This window comes from Homo sapiens, chromosome 2 (genome assembly GCF_000001405.40).
Source record: "Homo sapiens chromosome 2, GRCh38.p14 Primary Assembly".
In the NCBI taxonomy this organism is placed as follows: Eukaryota; Metazoa; Chordata; class Mammalia; order Primates; family Hominidae; genus Homo; species Homo sapiens.
Window position 1 is genome coordinate 5,672,345 of NC_000002.12, and position 19,569 is coordinate 5,691,913.

A 19,569-nucleotide genomic window follows, 5' to 3' on the forward strand; every position below is an offset into this window, starting at 1 on the left:
CTTTCGTTCCTCAGACATGGTTCAAACCAGACCACGGGGGAGCAGCACCCTACATGCCACTGCGTTGACCTCTTGGATTTCCGTTTCACTGTTGTGCAAGATAATTATGCCATGGACTCACTCACACTGAAATATTAGGAGAAACAGAGGCACTTGACCTTGGATTTACTTTTTCGAACTAGCATGGCAGCTGCTCTTAGCAAAAGTGTTTTCTCATTAACAGATTTCCCAGGGAAAACAATTCTCCCATGTCAGTAGCAAGAATCACTCTTCTGCAGGAGCACCGGTTTATTTGATGTTCTGGTTGCCGGGCATCGAGGAGAAGGTAGTGCCCCCCCTTTTCTGCTCTGGCTTCTGGCTAATGCTGAGCCACAGGTTTGGCCTCCTGCTAATCCGGGGACTCAGAGAACACGTTTTAGGGACCACACTTAACGATTGTTATATGGTCTTCTTCTAACCTTATTTTTTCTTTGTCCAGAATTTCTCGCTTTTTAATTTTCATCTATTATTAATTCCACTTTGATGATACGGAAACGTATCTTTTCCTTTAGCCACCAGTGTTTAGGTGGAGCGCCCGCCGGCAGGCTCGGGGCTCAGCTGGGAGGGCAGCTCTGGAAGCGTCCTGGAAAGGAAGGCCCAGTTCTTCTGGGGCCTGGGTTGGATTGTGTCCTCAGTTGTGGGGACGGTGGGAATCTAGGAAACGTGTTGGAGCAGGGCAATGACTCCCGGGAGATCTTTGGTTTCAGGAAGGGTGGCTTGGGGTGCTCCTCAGTAGTGAACACGCACAGGAGGCCCCGGAGAGCGGTGGGACGCACCTCCTGATTGAGCGGGTGAGAGCGAGGCCAGGGCCTCTGCATTTCTGGGAAGCTGCCAGATGGTGTCAACGCTGCAGGGGGCCGAATCCTATCTGAATAGCAAGGGCGCAGCCTGAGTGAGGAAGAGACTAGCGGCAAACAGATTGGACAGAAGCGGCTTCAGGACACGGGGCAGTCACAGCTTGATCAGCCGCCCCTGTAACCGGGTGGGGCATCCCCGCCCTCCGCTGCCCTGGAAGGAGCCCTCGGCTGGGTCAGGGCCGCGGGAGCCCTGGCCAGGAGCCACCTCCGCCAGGCGCGGCCGCTCCCGGGGGCTCCTCCTGCGTCCCCAGCGCCCACGCCCCGCCCCACCTGGCTCCGCTGCACCCGCAGCCACAGCGCCCGCCCGGGACACCTGCCCCTCCACGGCCGCGCGGGCGGAGGATGGCACTGCAGGTGGCGAGGCTGCTGCACTGGGCTTCCGAGGAGGTCTGGGGGAGGAGGCAGCTGGCAGAAGGAAAGCCAGACGGCGGCGGCAGCAGCTTAATAAGGGGGGTCTCCAGAGAACTGTGGTCCAGGCAGGTGGCTGGGAGCCCGGTGAGCCCTTTCAGAGAAGGGGGAGCGCTGCTGTCTCAAAGAGCAGCTGAGCCAAAAACAGAGGGGCCGGGGGTGGGGGACAGAGGGGTCATCACTGCCTGGACAGAGCTGCGTCCTGCGCAGGACCGGCAGCCCGAGGCGGAGACGAAGGGGGCCCGCAGGGACTCCTGGCCTTGCGTCTTGGGAGAGCGCACGCTGGCCTGCGCTACACACACACACTTCACAGTTGCGCTGAAACAGAGTCGGGTTTTCTGTACAGGAGATAAAATGACGGTAGTGTGTGTGTTTTTTGAAAGAGCTGTTAAAAAGCTAAGTTCTTCTCATTTCAGTGAGAGTTCCCCCTTGGATTGTTTGTGCGTGTATTCAATTCAGCCGCTGAAATCCCTGTGATTTTTAAAGCCCATTCCTTCCAAAATGAGTCATCCTGAATGACATGTGGAATACTTAGCATAAAGATCTATACTTGAGTAGTAACTTACAGTAGTAGATCCTTTCTTTCCTTCCTTCCTTCCCTTCCTTCCTTCTTTCTCTTTCTTTCTCTTTTTTCTTTTTTCTTTCTTTCTTTTTTTCCCTTTCTTTCTTCCTTTCTCTCCCTTTCTTTCTTTGTTTGCCTTTCTTTCTTTCAAAAATTTGTTACTAATGTTCTTTCCATTCCTTTTCTGCTTCTCTGTCTTTTTCTTTCTTTCTTGTGTGAAAGGCATAGAGGCAACTAGCTAAGACAGTGAAATTCAAATCTCTATTCTTTCTTTCTCTTCTTTCTTTCTTCCTTCCTTTCTTCCTTTTTTTCTTCCCTTCTTTCTTTCTCAACTATTGTCCAAACATTAAATGCCAGTTATGTATCCCATGGAGATCTCCCTTGAGATTTAACCTCAACAGCTACTCTCATTTTCCATGAGCTGTTGGGTCATGCAACCCTAGTTGAAGGACTGCATGAGTCTCATTCCTAGGAAATAATTCCCTGGGATTTACTGTTACATGAACACCAACACATTGGTAAGTATTAATTCTTTAACGTTTCTATTTAAAGAAAACATTACTCAAATGCCAGAAAAGGTTTAGTTGTATTGATTTGGATTGGAGAGCTGGTGAAAACATTGAGATTCCTCTGGACATGCATGTAGTATATGGCTGTGGGACTAGGACAGATTAATGACACTGCAAAAAAGCAAATGTCTGCCAAACTTGGAATTGGAATGTGGATACACCAAACGTGGGAAAATAAGTGTAACAGTCCTGGACACAGCGTCTATCTGGTAGTTTAAATGATCTGCAAAATGGTACTCACTTTCCCAGGCCTCACCCCCACCTAATCCTACTCCAATCTATCCTACCTCAGGAAATCTTTAATTTGGGATAACTCTACTGAATCCTACATAGACATTACTGTTAAAAACATCAAGAAAGAGCAAAAAATCTCCCCATGATGCTTGCCACTGTATCAAAAGGAAACAAACTAATTGACTTACTTATGCAAAAGCTGGCCTGGGGAGGATCTCTTGAGCCCAGGAGTTCAAGACCAGCCTGCATAAAATGGCAAGAGCCTATCTCTACAAATATATATATATATATGAGCTTGGCGTGGTGCCATACACCTGTGGTCCCAACTACATAGGAGGCTGAGGCAGTAGGATTGCTTGAGTCCAGGAGGTCAAAGCTGCAAGTGGGGTGTGTCCGTGCCACCACACTCCAGCCTAAGTGACAGAGTGACACTCTCTCTCAAAAAAGGAGCCTGGGGGAGTGTGGGGCAGCACTGATAGACTCAAATTCATTAACATGCACTGAGAAATTCATCCTACTTTTTAAAAGCATATGTATAGGTATGGAATTTGTACACAAACATTTCCCAATCTGGATCTTAAACCCTCTTGTTGCCCATTTAAAAACACGCAGACACATGCATGTACTTAAGCATAAATGAGGGTCTTTTGAAAATTAAGGAACAAATAGTACTTCCTTGCATTTTCTAGATTATGCTGTACTTTACAACACTCTTACAAGCAGTTTTCACCTAGGCCTTTATGCAAATCTAGAGAAAGACAATGAAGATTTTATCACTCCAGTTTTATAGATAAAGAGTCTCAAAGCAATTATATCACCTTCACAAGGTGAACTGCCATAAAAAATAATGACATGATTGGAATGCTACTTTGTTTCGGGTGCACTTTTGTCACTTCATGATTCTTGGACACAGGCTGTCAGAAAAAAACATTAAGGACAAATAGTGCCTGGAGTCGAGCTGAGGTTTTTTTTTTTTCTTTGAGGAAGAAAAGGGAGCTGTGTAGGTGCAGTGGAGCATGCCCGTAGCCCAGCTACTCCAGAGGCTGAGGCTGGAGCTTAAGCTCAGGAGTTTGAGGTCAGCCTGGGCAACATAGTAAGACCCCATCTCTAGAGAAACAATTTTTTTAAAGAAAACAAAAAAGTGGGAAAGTAAAAAATATCAAGTACGTTTCCTTTCAAAATGAGCATATCTGCTTTGTGGAAAATACTGGAAAGTAATTCTTAAATGAAGTTATTCTCTAAAATATCCTATAGTGTTTCTTTTTAATTGCTATATTCATGTTTAACATGTTCTATGTGTGTATGTGTTTCACCCAACAGAATTATGAGTTCTGTGAGGCATGAATTCTGAGTTTTCCCCTCTATGTCCTCAACACTGAAACCAATGTCTGTCACATAATACATGACTCTACATGTGGGTTGAACTGAAGTAGAAACCATGTTTTTTCATTAATTTTCTGAACATGGTGGCTGGGACAGAACACACATTTAATAAGCATTTATTTAACAAATAAATAAGTGAATGAATGATTAAAGGATATTGATACTCCCTATCAGAAAATACTAAGACACATAGTGATCTGAAATAATATACAGATAAATGGTTCTCTTTTCTGGTTTAATGTGGAATATGCTGTAAATAATCAAAATATCCTAGATTCTTGAACAAATCCTATTGGAATGACAGTAGCAAGGATTGAACCCATTCCAAACAAGATTGACTCTTAATGGAATTATAAAAATCAGTAGGAACTATATCTCTTAAGCAAAAGCGGTCATTTTGTCCTAGTGGCATAAGCAGGAGCCCTCCACGTACACAACATCCAGCAGGGAGTCCAAGCCTGCAGTGAGCATATGATTTTGGATCTGCACTGCGATCTTCTCATCATCACATGTTTTATGGACAGAAACAAGTATTACATCAAATATACTGACAGAGTCCCCGGAGACAGCAATGGAACAGAACTCCCTCAGCTGGCACGCAGGTGAAGGAGAGAGTCGTGTTTGTCTAAGATGGAGGTACTGTGAAGTTTGGAGTCACATTGCCTTTCTTCCAACTCCAACTTTAGTTAAAGGTGGAAGTGACCACAGACGCTGAAGGACAACATTCATCATCTGTGAGGAATTCTGTATTTACTGTATCATTGATTGATGATCCTGTATTTTCTGTCAACTCTCCATATAGCTGAAATTGAAAACTTTACAAATAACATAAACAGGACAGAGAGTAAAATGGGCATGGCTTAGGCATCATGCGTAGCATGGCAGTCCAGCATAGTTAGTCATGCCAAGACTGTTCCCTGCTGGCCTTGCCTCAACCCCTGCCACTCCCTGCATAGCGAGGGGCCCCACACTTTGCAATTACTGCTACTGGAATTCCATGCTGTTGGAATTCCATGTCTTATTTTCAATTAGGCCCCTAGCCTATCCAGAAAACATTTCCAAAGTGACACTAGCAGTTAATTTTTTTCTCCTTCCCTTTCACCTCTAGTTTCCAGAAATATTCAAAGATCTCTACATAATAAAAACAAAATACTCATGTCTGTAGAAGAAATGGCTAAAATGTTTTCTTTCCTGGGTTCTACCACAGTTAGCAAAGTGTCTCGGTCTATTTTTGTAAACATGGTTTATAATCACACAGAAGCTTCATAAAATATTTTTGTATCCTATTTTCAACCTCACAGTCTCCTTAGATGTAAGTAGGAGATATGGAGCCATTTTCTCAATGATAAATGAAGGTTCTGAGCCATAAACTCCTGATGGAAAATGCAGTGTACTAAATACTCTGTAGTGTACCCATATGTTTCAGAGTGCAGGGTGCATGAAAATGTGCCTATAATTTGGTCAATATCAAACCCCCCAAAACAGTGCTTATGTTCTCTAACTGTGTCCTACTGGTTAATAAAGAATACCATAAAAAGATTATGTGGTCTGCTTCTTTTTTAAATAAGCAACCTAGTTACCATACATTGTCTTTGGATTTAAGGCAGCTCAGTTCTTTGTGTGAGGGCAGTTTGCATCGTTCTCATATTTGCGTTTCGGGAAAATATGATCAAGTGTAGACTTATGTCAGTGGAGTAGGAGTGTTTCTACCTATCATAAGCTTGGTCTTCAATATGTAGTAGAGAACATCTCCCTAACCATTTTTGTGTGGGGCATAATATTATTCTACAGAGTTGTTGCAATCAGCATTAACATAGTCAACAAGCTTCAGCTGAGGTAGTTGTGCAATAAATGTATGACCAGGAAATACTATAAATATCTTTCCTTTTATACTTCAGATCCTATTCTTCACAGTTAGAACCAGAAATAGACATACTAATATTCCAATCCTGTTCTCATTTATTTACCCAGGCTAGCATTAGCTATCCCCTTGCCCTCTGGTTACAAGAGGTGAAATAGAGGCATGCTACATGGTATTAGGACAGGCAGAGATAAACCCTGGGAAGAATATCAAATATGCATGAACAAATCATACAACTCCTCCAAGAGCTGGAATGAGAGAAATGAAGGAAAAACATGTACCTAGCTTTGGAGAATCCTAAAAGATACTTAAAAACTGAGAAGAAATTGGAACTATTGCCTCTCTGAGGTAAGGAATTCCACCCTGCAGTAGATAAGATGTCTATTCATTCCCTGGCTCTGGGGAGCATATTGAGTTGGAGGGTGGAGGATGTGAGCCTGCCCTACCTCCCTCTCGAGCCTATACACAAACTCATCTGGGATGCATCTGCCCATCACACAGAGTCCTACTTGCTGTGAGATGTCCTCAAATTGCCCACTATCAGGGTCCCAGAAATTCTTTCGAATTCTGTAATTACATGTTTCAACACATATATTTGTATATATCTTTATGGTTTTAGGGGCTCCCAGGAATCTTGTTTCCTAAGAGATGGAGAAAACTCCTTGGAAAACCCATTCTAAGGGAAAGAGATTCAAGGTGCTGAAGCTCTGTTGTTGGAAAATATACTAGGACTGGGGTAAACTAATGCATGTAAGTACAATACATTTTGTGTTACACTAGATTTTCTTCTGGACCAACCCCTACAGACCCATGCAAGAGGGAAAAAAAGCCTGAAAGAGTGAATGTTCATTCACTAAAATGTTGATAAGACATTGAAAGCATCACACTGCGTTACATGGGAAAATAACAACTAAATTCCAGGGGAAGAGTGGTATTGAGATACCCAGCACAGTGAATGGGCAGTGGGTGCGGTCACCATATAGGGCAGGAACGGAATTGTGAGACAGAGAAGGGGGAGAGCCTGTGTTCCTTTCTTTTTCTTAACTCTTCTTTTTTTTCCTTTTCTTCCCATTCCCTCAAAGTGACTTTAACCTTGGGTTTCCTTCTTCATGTCTTCATGACTCCATCTGTTCATTTAGCCAAGCACTAGTGAATGCCGCACAGTACCCAGCACTTAGCTAACCTCAGGATAGACGCAGACCAACAAAACATGCCTCTACCTTTAGGAAAACTCACAGTCAATAGCAAAGGCTTCCTTTCAGCCCTAATATCATTTTATAACTCTATATGTAACACCCGCAGTAATGGTGACAACAATGTTGGTGAACTAAAATACGCATTGTCTTGTGTTTGTCAGCGCTTCCTGCCTGCAAAATACACCAGGGAATGGGCTAGAGGAACTTCACTGTGTCACAGCATCTTAGCACTAAAGCAAGTCTTGTTTTTGAAACTTTTATTTTAAGTTCAGGACTGCATGTGCAGGTGTGTTACGTAGGTAAACTCTTGTGTCATGCGGGTTGTTGTACAGATTATTTTATCACCCAAGTATTAAACCTACTACTCATTAGTTATTTTTCCTGATTCTCTCCCTCCTCCTCGCATCCCCCATCCTCCAATAGGCCCCAGTGTGTGCTGTTCCCCTATATGAGTTCATGTGTTCTCCTCATTTAGCTCCCACTTATAAGTGAGAGCATGTGGTATTTGGTTTTTTATTCCTGCATTTGTTTGCTAAGGATGATGGCCTCCAGCTCCAACCATGTCCCTCACTTTTTGATGGCTGCATAGTGTTCTGTGGTGTGTATGTACCACATTATCTTTATCCAGTCTATCACTGAGGTCTTTGCTATTGAGAATAGTGCTGCAGTGAATATACACGTTCATGTATCTTTATAATAGAATGATTCATATTCCTTTGGGTATATATGCAGTAATGGGATTGCTGGGTCGAGCAGTCTTTCTGTCTTTAGGTCTTTCAGGAATCGCCACACTGTCTTCCACAATGGCTGAACTAATTTACACTCCCACCAACAATTTATTAGTACTAATTTTTCTCTGCAACCTTGTCAGCATATGCAATTTTTTTTGTTTTGACTCTTTAATAATGCCATTCAGATTGGTGTGAGATAGTATTTCATTGTGGTTTTGATTTGCGTTTCTCTGACGATCAGTGATGTTGAGTTTTTTTCATGATTGTTGGCTGCATGTATGTCTTCTTTTGAATCAAGTCTGTTCATGTTCTTTGCCCACTTTTTAATAGGGCTTGGTTTTTTTTTTTTCTTGTAAATTTGTTTAAGTTTCTTATAGATGCTGGATACTAGACCTTTGTTGGATGCATAGTTTGCAAAACTTTTCTCCCATTCTGTAGGTTGTCTGTTTACTCTGTTGATAGATTCTTTTGCTGTGTAAAGCTCTTTCATTTAATTAGATCCTATTTGTCTATTTTTTCTTTTGTTGCAATTGCTTTTGTCATCTTTGTCATGTAATCTTTGCCTGTCCCTATATTCAAGTTGGCATTGCTTAGGTTGTCCTCCGGGTTTTTATAGTTTTGGGTTTTTCATTTAAGTCTTTAATCCATCTTGAGTTAATTTTTGTATATGGTGTAAGGAAGTGGTCCAGCTTCAATCTTCTGCATATAGCTAGCCAGTTATGCCAACACCATTATTTGAATAGGGAACCCTTTCCCTGTTGCTTGTTTTTGTCAGGTTTGTTGAAAATCAGATGATTATAGGTTTGCAGCCTTATTTGTGGGTTCTCTATTCTGTTCCATTGGTCTATGTGTCTGTTTTTGTACAGGCCCCATGCTGTTTTAGTTATTATAGCCCTGTAGTGTAGTTTGAAGTCAGGTGGCATGATGCCTTTGGTTTTGTTCTTTTTATAGCAAGTCTTTGTAAATTACCTGGAGGAATCACTTGCACTGGTTGGGAATGCGCTTTATGACATTCTTCAGTCCCCCTAATGCCTCTGTAGGATCTTCCATGAGGTTTACACATGTCAAAGTGAATAGATTTGGTCCCTGGGAACATGGGGTATAAATGTGATAAATGCTATAATAAAGGCATGCATGCAGTGCTACAGGGGTTGAAGTGATGAAGCAACAATTCTGCCTAAAATAGGAGGCTTGGTCAGAAAATGTAACTTTAAGAATGTTGTGTGCGTACACTCTCAGAGCACCGTACCTCAATGATCTTTCCCTTACTGCAGCACAAAGACAAGGGAGTGAGACATTATTCCTTCTACACACACTTTACAGCCCCGCCTTACTTAAGTTAATGAAGTTATCGCCTTTGAACTGAATAAGATGTTAAACTGTACTCTTCAATTTCTCACAGAATGTTGCCTGAGACCCAAAGCCAAAAGGGGTAATGCAGTGCCTAGGCATTTTGAAGCTGTGACCACTATGCACAGCAATAAAATCCTTCTATGTATGTGGTCACTGGACTTTCCCTCATCCACATATATCATTGACTTATTGCCTATAAAAGAGGGACTATTCCTAAGAGCCTATATTTGGAAACAACCTAAGTGTTCATCAACCGATAAATGGGTAAAGAAAATGTGGTACATATACACCATGGAATACTATGCAGCCATAAAAAAAATGGAATCATGTCCTTTGCAGCAACATGGATGGAACCGGAGAACATTATGTTAAGTGAAATAAGCCCAGCACAAAAAGACAAATTTCACATGTTCTCACTCATTTGTGGGAGCTAAAAATTAAAACAATTGAACTCATGGAGATAGAGAATAGAAGGTTACCAGAGTCTGGGAAGTGTAGCAGGGCTAGGGGAGAGTGAAGATGGTTAATGAGCACAAAAATATAGTTAGATAGAACTAATAAGATCCAGTGTTTGATAGCACAACAGGGTGACTACAGCCAACAATAACTTATTGTACATTTTAAAATAACTAAAAGAGTGGCACTGGTATATTCTTAACCAAAAGAAATGATCTGAGCTTGAGGCGATGGACACTCTATTTACCCTGATGTGATTGTTATGCATTGTATGCCTGTATCAAAACATCTTATGTACCTCATAAATTATACACCTACTATGTACCCACCAAAATTAAAAAATCAAAAAACATTAAAAAGTATGTAAAAAAAGAGGGGTCTATGGTTTGGGGACTTCTTTTCTGTATTAGTTTGCTAGGGCTGCAGTAATAAATTAACACACACTGGCTGGTTTAAGCAAAATAAATGTATTCTTTCCCAGTTCTGGAGCATGAGATCGCAGTGTTGTCGGGGTGAGTTTTCCTGGGGCTGTGAGGGAGGATCCCCACCAGGCCTCTCTCCTGGGCTTATTAATGGCCGTCTTCTATCTCTTTACTTTATCCTCCTTCCACGCATGGTTCTCTGTGTCTACATTTCCACTTCTTTTTTTTAATTGCAACAGTGTCTTGCTCTGTTGCCCAGGTTGGAGGGCAGTGGTGTGTTCTCAGCTAACTGCAACCCCTACCTCCCGGGCTCCAGCAATCCTCCCATTTCAGCCTCCGGAATAGCTGAGATGACAAGCTCACGTCACCATGCTTGACTAATTTGTGTGTGTGTGTGTGTGTGTGTGTGTGTGTGTGTATTTTTAGTAGAAATGGGTTTTCACAATGCTGCCCAGGCTGGTCTCTAACTCCTGAGCTCAAGTGATCCTCCCACCTCAGCCTCCCAAAGTGCTGGGATTACAGGTGTGCACCACTGCACCAGGCCCATTTCCCATTTTTATATTGTGTTTGGACCCACCCCACTGGCCTGGTTTTAAATTGATCATCTGCAAAGGACCTCTCTCCAAATAAGCTCCCACTCTGAGGTATTCAGGAATTACACCTCAAAGTATTTATTTTGAGAAACATAATTCAACTCATAATAGCCCATTATCTGACCCTTAAAGATTCATGTCCTTCTTATATGAAAAATATATTTACCACATCCCAACATCTCCAAAAGCCTGAATGCAGTCCAGCGTGAAGCCTAAGTCCAAAACCTCATCTAAATATCTCATCAAATATGAGTGCAACTCAGGCTTTGATTCATCCTTCAGCAAAATTCCCTTTCAGCTGTGGATCTATGAGACTAGACTGCATATCTACTTTTAAAATACAATGATGGAACAGGCATCGAATAGACATTTCCATTCCATAAGGGGGAGATCAGAAGAGAAAAAAAAAAGGATTACTAATCCCAAACAAGTCCCAAACCTATCAGGGAAAATTCCCTTCAATTCCAGACCTCAGAAGAATCTTCTCTGGCTAGATTCTCTGCCCTCTGGTCCTCCAACCCTTTCATTGTCCCCTCACCAACTCTTGGGGACTTGGTGTGGGAGTCAAGACTCATCAGCGCCAAGCTGTGGGCTTTCAATTTGGTGGGGAGTGCAGAGGAGATTGGGACACACAGAGACTGGAGCAAAACTCTAGCCTGAACACACGGAGGCTGGGCCCTGGCCAGAGCTGCCCTGGAAGGAGAGCGAGCAGTGGCCTCTCCCACAGTCGGGTGGTGCAAACACTCCGGATATGTCCCTGAAGCAGAGGCATGTGATGGAAGGAAGTGGAACAGAGCCACCCTGGAATGACCTTGTCAGAGCAGGCCTTGTTGTAAGTGACTATATCAAGGGCGTCAAGCAAGGGTGTTCACACCTAGGAAGGGCACCCAAAATGGAACCTCAAGGATCATCTGGAGACGCAATTCCCCACAACAGAGAAGGTGGCCCTGCTGCGATGGGTTCATTCTTATAATAACCCATCAAGGAGGCCCAGCAGCTGGAATCCTGGCATGTCAACGGGCATTCAGCAGCCAAGTGAGAAGCACACAGCATCGGCTACATGAAGATAGACTTTGCCCCTTTCTCTTCTGAGCCCTTCCCATCTCCTGGTTCCCCAGCAGCCAGAAGGCAGGACGGGGAGGCAGGAGTGTAAAACACCAGAACTGCCACCTTGTCTCTAATTCACAGTCAGCCCAAGCTAGACCTGAGGGGGGATCTCTAGGCTGGTGGGAAGAGAATCACAGAGCTGTGTCCTGATCACACTGCACTTCATCCAGCCTGTCAAGTGCACCATTTACACACCCAAGCACAGATCCAAATGGTACTCGGGACCAAAGGAAAATCATGTTAATTTTTATTGTAACATGGACTCTCCGCTGCTGTGGGAGAAAAAAATAATGAGGAATCTGATACTCACCCAGGTTAAAAGAGCATTACTGAGACTGAAGTAGGCTGTGGATATCTGCAGGCAACTTGGATTGCTTTATGTGCCTTTCTTACATTCCACATTTCTATGGGAAATATGTGCTGCCTTCAAATGGAGGAAGAGAAAACAATAAATACCACAAAGTACCAAAGTCACAACTAAATAACTATACTTTAACATATAATAAACCCACAGACTTAAGAGAATGAAACCAAAATAATTTTCCCTAGTTTACGATTCTGTAGCAGTGACATTTTTCGTCCTGGAAAAGCTACGTAAGGTCCAGCGCAGAAGTGACCTTGGAAGTCACCTAGTCCAAAATGTTCGTGCTAGAGGTGAGGATTTTAAGGGCCAAGGTGATCAACCCCTGTTCCTAAGATCACGTGGCTGATTTATGTTAGGATGGGGGCAGGAGACAGTCTCCCTGGCTCAGACCCCTCTTCCCTCACAGGTGTGTCTCTCTAAGGCACTACTCACCTCTTAGTAGAAGCCTGGGTCCTCTTGCCACCCATCCTCCCCTCCTCCCCCTTGTCTGCAAACGCCCTTCGATTTTGCACAGCAGCTAAAAGCTACCCTAATGATGACCACAAATTGGTAGAATTTTTAGTGAATGCCCTCTCCAAGGAAAGGTCACTGTATTTCTTGTTCATGTTATGATTACTTAGAATTTAATGGTTACCTGTGCTTCACACATCTCTGCCTATACCTTACTTTATTTGGAATAACAAAAGTAATGTAAGTGTTTTCAAAGCTGACAGACAGAGACAGAGTACAGAAAGAGCTATTGATGCATCGAGGGCCAGAAAGAAAAACAACAGCAGACACCTAAGTTCAAGAGTCAATTACAGCAAAATGTAGTTGATTACAGGGCTCATGGGTCGCGGGGAGTGGGTAAAGCAACCTGGCCACACAGCTTGGTGATTTAGAAAGAGTCCTGGCTAGGGCTTTCCCTCAGCCTATCAAGGTGGAGGGGAGACGCTGCACCTGCCAAAGCCGATGATTCCCTGTTCCCGGTGAGGACTATCCACAGACACCCTCCTCCTGCACTTGTGCTTATCAAATCCCAGAAATCTACCGGACACGTGTTTGCCTGAGTTACCAGCTCTCCCCATCCCCTCTTGTCTGTATCATCGAAAACAATGACACATTCATAGCTATTCACATGGATGTTTTCTCTAGCTAAGAAGTGATTAAGACAAACAAATCAGGATAATAGCCATGTTTTGAAGAAACCAGATTTGGCAAATTTTAAAATTGTGCTTTCAAAATTGACTATTCATTTCTTTTTATATTACACTTCCAAACACACACATACACACTTAACAATCACACATTTGGAACCATACATGTCTTCTTGGGTGTATAAGACAAAGATACTGATAGAAAGGGAGCAATGTCTCCAGGAGACACTGGCCCCTCTCCCTTCATGTGTAGACTGCAACTCTAGGACTTGCTCTCCAGCACTGGTGCAGGCTCCGCCTCTGTCTTTGATTTAGATGGGAGAGGGCAGGAGCCATCTCCCCACCCCAGCCCCTAAAGCCCCCCACTCTCTTTTTTGGAGCTAAGAGAGCAGGCCACACTGGACGATAGTGCTGCTTGCTCAACAAAAAAAATAACTGTTTTGGGGGAAATTATTTAACTTCATTTAAAAATTCCCTGAGTTTTCTAGTTAAATGTCTTTTTTAGAGCATATTCCTCCCACTAAAAAATGGTTGAATAAATATATTTTTAATAAAAATAAGGTTTGTTTAAACTGTAAAAGATAGGAAGTTCTAGCCAATGCCTGGTTAACAGGAACAGTGTGAACACGTGAAACAGTGTGATCTGAAACCACAGACATCCCTCTTGGTGTTAGCTCCAATGTTGCATGTGTATATTCTGTGTGTGTACATCTGTGTGTGTGTGTGTGTGTTCATTTGTGTGCTGGGTCATGATGTAAAAATCCATTTCATATGTCAGATCATAGTCAAAATAAGTTTGAAGCCCCTGCCCTGTGCTATCCTGCCCTGCTGATACTCTGTGTTTTCCTTAATTGTGACAAAGATGAAACTACAGAGGCAAAACGAGAAGAGTCATGCCTTGCTTGCATTGCAAAGGGACGTGGATTTTGTCCTAATGGTGAAGGGCATCCTGAGCATGACGCTGGCAAGTCCCATGGTCCCTGTTGCATGTTGGAATGAATAGTCTGTCTGCAGAGTGGAAACAGGGACATCAGTTTGGTGTCCATTACTAAAAAATGTGTAAAGCCCAGAGGAAAACTGAAACATACACACTGATGGTCAAAACATGCAGGAGGAAGTGAACTCAGGAGTGACTCGGGTAGGAGAATTGACTGAGCTTACTGGGGTATGTGAGCAAATATGAAAATCCCTTCATAACTTACACAATAGTTACGGTATGCCAGGAACCCTTTCAGGCACAGAAGAAGAAATATTAAAATAATAAAGACTACATTTGTAAACGTTCTACTGTGCGCAGCACTGTTCTAAGCACTTCATATGTATTTAATCATTATAGCAATTCTAACAAATCAAGCAGGACCTGGACTGTGTCTCTGCACACATGAGTGTGTGTGTGTGTGTGCGCGTGCACGCACATGATGGAATGGTTACTGGTATCCTATTTTATAGACTGGAAAACGAAGGCACAGGATAAGTTAAATAACTTGTGTAAAAGACACTATCAAGAAAATGAGAAAACAAGCCACAGACTAGGGGAAGTTATTTGCAAAAGACATGTCTGATAAAAGACTGTTACCCAAAATATACAAAGAAGTCTTAAAGCTTCACAATAAGCACATGAAAAACCTGATTTAAAAAAAATGGGCCAAAAACCTGAAGAGATATATCACTAAAGAAGATATACTGAGGGCAAGTAAATATTTGGAAAGACAGTCCATCTCATATGCCTAGGGAAATGTAAATTACAACAAAAATGAGATAGCACTTCAGACCGAGTAGAATGGCTACAATCTAAAATAGTGACAACAGCAAATTCTGACGAAGATGTAGAATAGTAGAAACTCTCATTCGTTGCTGTTGGGAATGCAAAATGGGACAGCCACTTTGGAAGACAGTTTGAAAGTTTCTTATGAAATTATACAACCTCTTACCACACGATAGAGCAGTATCACTCTTTGATATTTACCCAAGCAAGTTGAACACTTACATCTACACACAAAGCTGCACAAGGATGCTTGTAACAGATTTTATTCATCATTGCCAAAACATGGAAGCAGCCATGATGTCCTTCTGTAGGAGGATGGATAAACTGTGGTATACTCAGACAATGGAATGTTATGTATTGCCAAAAAGAAATGAGCTATGAAGTCATAAAAAGACATGGAAGAACATAAAATGCATATTGTTAAGTTAAGGAAGCCAATCTGAAAAAGCTACATACTGTATGATTCCATATATTTGACATTCTGGAAAAGGCAAAACTATTGCCATAGTAAAATAATCAGTTGTTGCCAAGGGCTTGGAGGGGTGAAGGATGAATAGGTGGGTGGAGGCCAGATGATTAGGGCCATGAAAATAATCTGCATGACACTATAATGATGGATACCTGCCATTATACATTTATCCAAATCCACAGAATGTACAACACCAAGAGTGAGCCTAATGTGGACTACGCATGTTGGATGATTATGATGTGTCATTGTGGATGCACTGATCGTAACACATGTACCACCGAGTGGGGGTGGTTGTGTATGTGTGGGGATAGACACTATGTGGAAGGCTCTGCATTTTCCATTCATGTTTGCTGTGAACCTCAAACTGCTCTAGAAAATAAAGTCTATTTAAAAAAATAGAATACATATCTCATATGAATAATTTCAAAAGACGTGAATTTTGGAGGCAGTACGTTTGTGGAATTATCTGGGCATTGATAACTAAAAGTCAAGCGCTCCATGATGAGAGCCACGCGGGAAAAAGAAAAGATAGTGGAACCAGAATTTTCAATCCAGGGCAGAACGCTTCTGAGCCGTAACTCTGAACACCTAAGCCAGTGTTTTTCAAACTTCAGTGGTGCCTCATTAATAGTGGGTTTTAACTAGCATTTACAGAAATGGAATGGAATGGAATAGAATAAAAAAGAGTATGAATTGCACATAAAAGAGAGATACTGATTTTTGACGCTTTGGTTTCTGCTTTATATGTGTATAGCATGAGTACTGGGTCATGATGTAAAAAGGTGTTTTATAAAATAGGTCATGATCAAAATAAATTTCCAAGCCGCTGCCCTGTGCTGTACTGCCCAACTGCTCTGGCTTTCATGGATCACACTCTGCAGTGGTCAATTCAGAGAATAAATGAGTGAAAAGCTTAACAACATTATTTTAGCTATTGAAACATGTTCTGATGAGCCAAACAGGGTAACAGCATCCACTGGTTCATTGTGTGTGTGTGTGTGTGTGTGTGTGTGTGTGTTTTCAAGGTAGGATTGTTCGATCTATACTCATTACCAGGTCTGAGGAACACTTAAGAAGGAATAAGAAGGAATGTCCAGTAGACAGAATATAACCAGATCCAAATTCAAGATTTAAGGCTGAAGCTGAGATAAATAGATACAGCTAACAATAAGGAGTGAACTCATTTCAGGAGAATAGGTAAAGGGAGAAAAAAGGAAAGGATCCTACCTTATAACTTCATTTCAGAGATGGGGAATGCATGTGGTTGCAATACTTCTAAAAATGGTGGTCAATCCATCAGATAAGTCAAATATTTACCCAGTGATATTTTTAGCATATTATTTGCTTAGAAAAATGCTTCTTTCCTAAGAAAAAGGGACACTTCTTACTCTGGCTGTGTTATAATTTTGAGAGATATCGTGAAATATCTCATCTCTTTATGTAATAGTCCTTTTACGTGACATTTTCTTTGTAAAGATGGAATTATGAAAAGGTAAAAATCACCATAAAAATAGTCATTTGTGCCTCTAATCAGATGTGACTCTTAAGATTCTGAACATTATGTATCCAACAATGTTTATGGTTAACAAACAAACTACATATCTTGCTTATAAATAAGTATATAGACAGACACACACAAAAATGAGTGAATATTGGCTCTAAAAAGATAACCAATGATCCTAATTATGATATACATTCAGTGGCTTAAAAAACAGTAGACCTATTTCCATTTTACTAAATTAGGTTTTCAAGAGGTGCATTATTAAAGGCTATATTTTCTATTTGGTAGCCTAAAATTTCTCTAAATAGTTGGTTACTGTTAATGGCGCAAACATCTGTTTTCAGAAGTAACTATTATTCCTGTAAGAAGCATGCGTACTCTCAAACATGTTCCCATATTTTTTTTTAAATGCTATACTTATTTAAAAATTTTCCCTTAGGGAGCAAAAATAAAGTATACAGATTATCATTTTTTTCATTCCTCACTCGACTACGTCTAACAACATTAAGTATGTGGGGTGAGTCCATGCTACAAAATAGCAATCTAGTTAATCTCTTGTGAAAATTGCCTGGCCTCTCCTACATGACAGGGGGGATTCAGCTGTAGCACCCGCCTGTGCCGCCTTCAGTGCCTGCTTTAGCAATCCCAATCTTTGCTTTATCTTCTCCAACAAACGGCTCATGTTGCCTTGAACAGAAATTATATTTCTTGTTCGAAAGAGCAGATTTTAACTTTTATTTCCTCTAAAAAGATCGCAGCGCTATGAGAATAAAATCTATTATTTTTCACTCCTACTATATTCAGATCATTCTCATTTTAAAGCTAAGCATGATTTTTGCTATAGCGTAAAGATAGCAAATCAATATGGAATTTGCCAAAGATTTTCAAATGCATTCTCTTTCCGAGGCCCAAATGGTAGGTGCCCTCACACTTTGCAAGCAAATAATGAAGCTGAGCTGAAATATTTCAATCCTTTTCTCTAGAGTGTGGATTTGTCCTGCAGTTGTGGGGAGGTGGGTGTAGGTTCACCTTGTGCTCCACCCCACCCTCCCTCCGGTGGTGTTCCCAATAGCTGAAAAACGTGTGAGCTGTAAGAGAAAAACAAGACCTAGTGCTCGCCGTGCGGGAGTGAAGATGAGTTTTCACACACTGCCTTGGATTTTATACATCTCCAGACTTTAAGTCACCCAGTATGAATGACTGTAAATTCTTTTGGTTCCTATGGCCCTGGAAAGAATAAATTGCCAGCATTATCAAGATTTAAGTTGGTCTGAATATTCCAAGTATTCGATGCAGTGTTTTTCTTTAGGATGAGTCGGGGAAGTGGGGGACGGGGGCGGGAATGGCTTATCGCAATGGCGGTAATTTTTTCAAATCATGATCTGTGTAAAACACGGTATTATTTTATGATATTAGAATCCTCAGAGAAGATCCAATACTTAAGAAATGTAGTATTAATTGCAGGAGGGCACCTGAAAGGAAGCAGATTCGGATAATTTTCCCAGTCCTACACGGCTGATTTCTCTGGTGAAGGGATCCGGGCAGTGTCTTAGGAACTGCTCAAAGTTCCCAGATACCCAGTGCTGGGGGGTGTGGAGAAGGCGAGGGTGGCGACAGACCATACCTATGAAGCGGTGATTTTCTTTAATTGCCCCCAGAATATCCGTAGAGGTAGTAGGGACTCAATAAAGAAACACAAAGGAGACGAACACGGCACGATCGCCGGGGTCCGCGGCTGCTCTGCGAGGCCCAGCGCGCCCCAGGTCGCGGCTCCCCGGCCGCCAGCGCACCTTTCCATCTCCAGGGAAAATATTTAGACGGGAAACTCGAGTGCACCTTATTTTCTCTTTGGTTTATGAGTGACCCAGAAGGCTTCTAGCTCACAATCGCACGATTTCAGGACGAGGCTGCCGGAGAAGCGCTGGCGACCGAGGATGGGGGAAGGACAAAGAGGAAGAGGAGGCCTGGGAAGGAGAAAGGAGCGGCGGAGGGGCGGGGAGAGGACGGGGCGGGGAGAGGAGGGGCGGGGAGCAGAGGGAGAAGGGAAGGAGGGCGCCGGGCCCCTCGCAGGGACGCCGGGCGGGGCGCGGGCTTGCTGGAGCCTGCGGGACCCAGAGCCCGCTCCGGAGCCAGCCCTGGGAGTGGCCAGCTTGAACCCGAGGGCCCCGCAGACCGTTACTCCGGCCCCCGCCCGGGGCGGGGCGCGCGGGGGCGCGGCGCAGCCCAACCCGCACAGCCGCGTCCCCAAACACCACCGAGGAGGGAAAACAGACGGAGAAAAAGGACAAAACAGAAAAATGCAAAACGGGGGAGGGAGCTCACCGCCTCTCGAGCTTTAAATTGATTTCTTTGCCTTACAAAAAGGGAGAAAGGGAAAAGGAGAGCAGAGCCCACGTGCCGGGAAGGTTGCTGTCTTCAAGCGCCACCTTCCGTCGGCCAGGGCCGCCGCGGGGCTACCGGGCGGGCTCGGGGCGGCGACCCGGGGGAGCGGCCGAGCCCCGCGAGGGGCTCGCCGGGGAGCAGCTGCGCCCACCCCGGGGCAGGCCGGGCGCGGCTGACCGCG

At 43.0% G+C, this 19,569-nt stretch overlaps 2 long non-coding RNA genes across 2 annotated transcripts in view; both read right to left on the minus strand.

Annotated features, from left to right (window-relative positions):
• The window catches only part of LINC01248 (long intergenic non-protein coding RNA 1248), a 56,978-nt gene extending 38,204 nt beyond the window's left edge, over window positions 1–18,774 (minus strand). Inside the window, exons 1-2 of the long non-coding RNA NR_110580.1 lie at window positions 18,631–18,774; window positions 12,082–12,195 (exon numbers count right to left, since the gene is read on the minus strand). This is a non-coding gene — a long non-coding RNA (long intergenic non-protein coding RNA 1248). The remainder of the gene's footprint in view (window positions 1–12,081; window positions 12,196–18,630) is intronic.
• Window positions 15,284–18,619, minus strand: LOC124908052 (uncharacterized). Its single transcript, XR_007088653.1, has 2 exons — window positions 16,733–18,619; window positions 15,284–15,411 (listed from the first exon to the last, which is right to left on the minus strand). It is a non-coding gene; the product is annotated as an uncharacterized LOC124908052 (long non-coding RNA).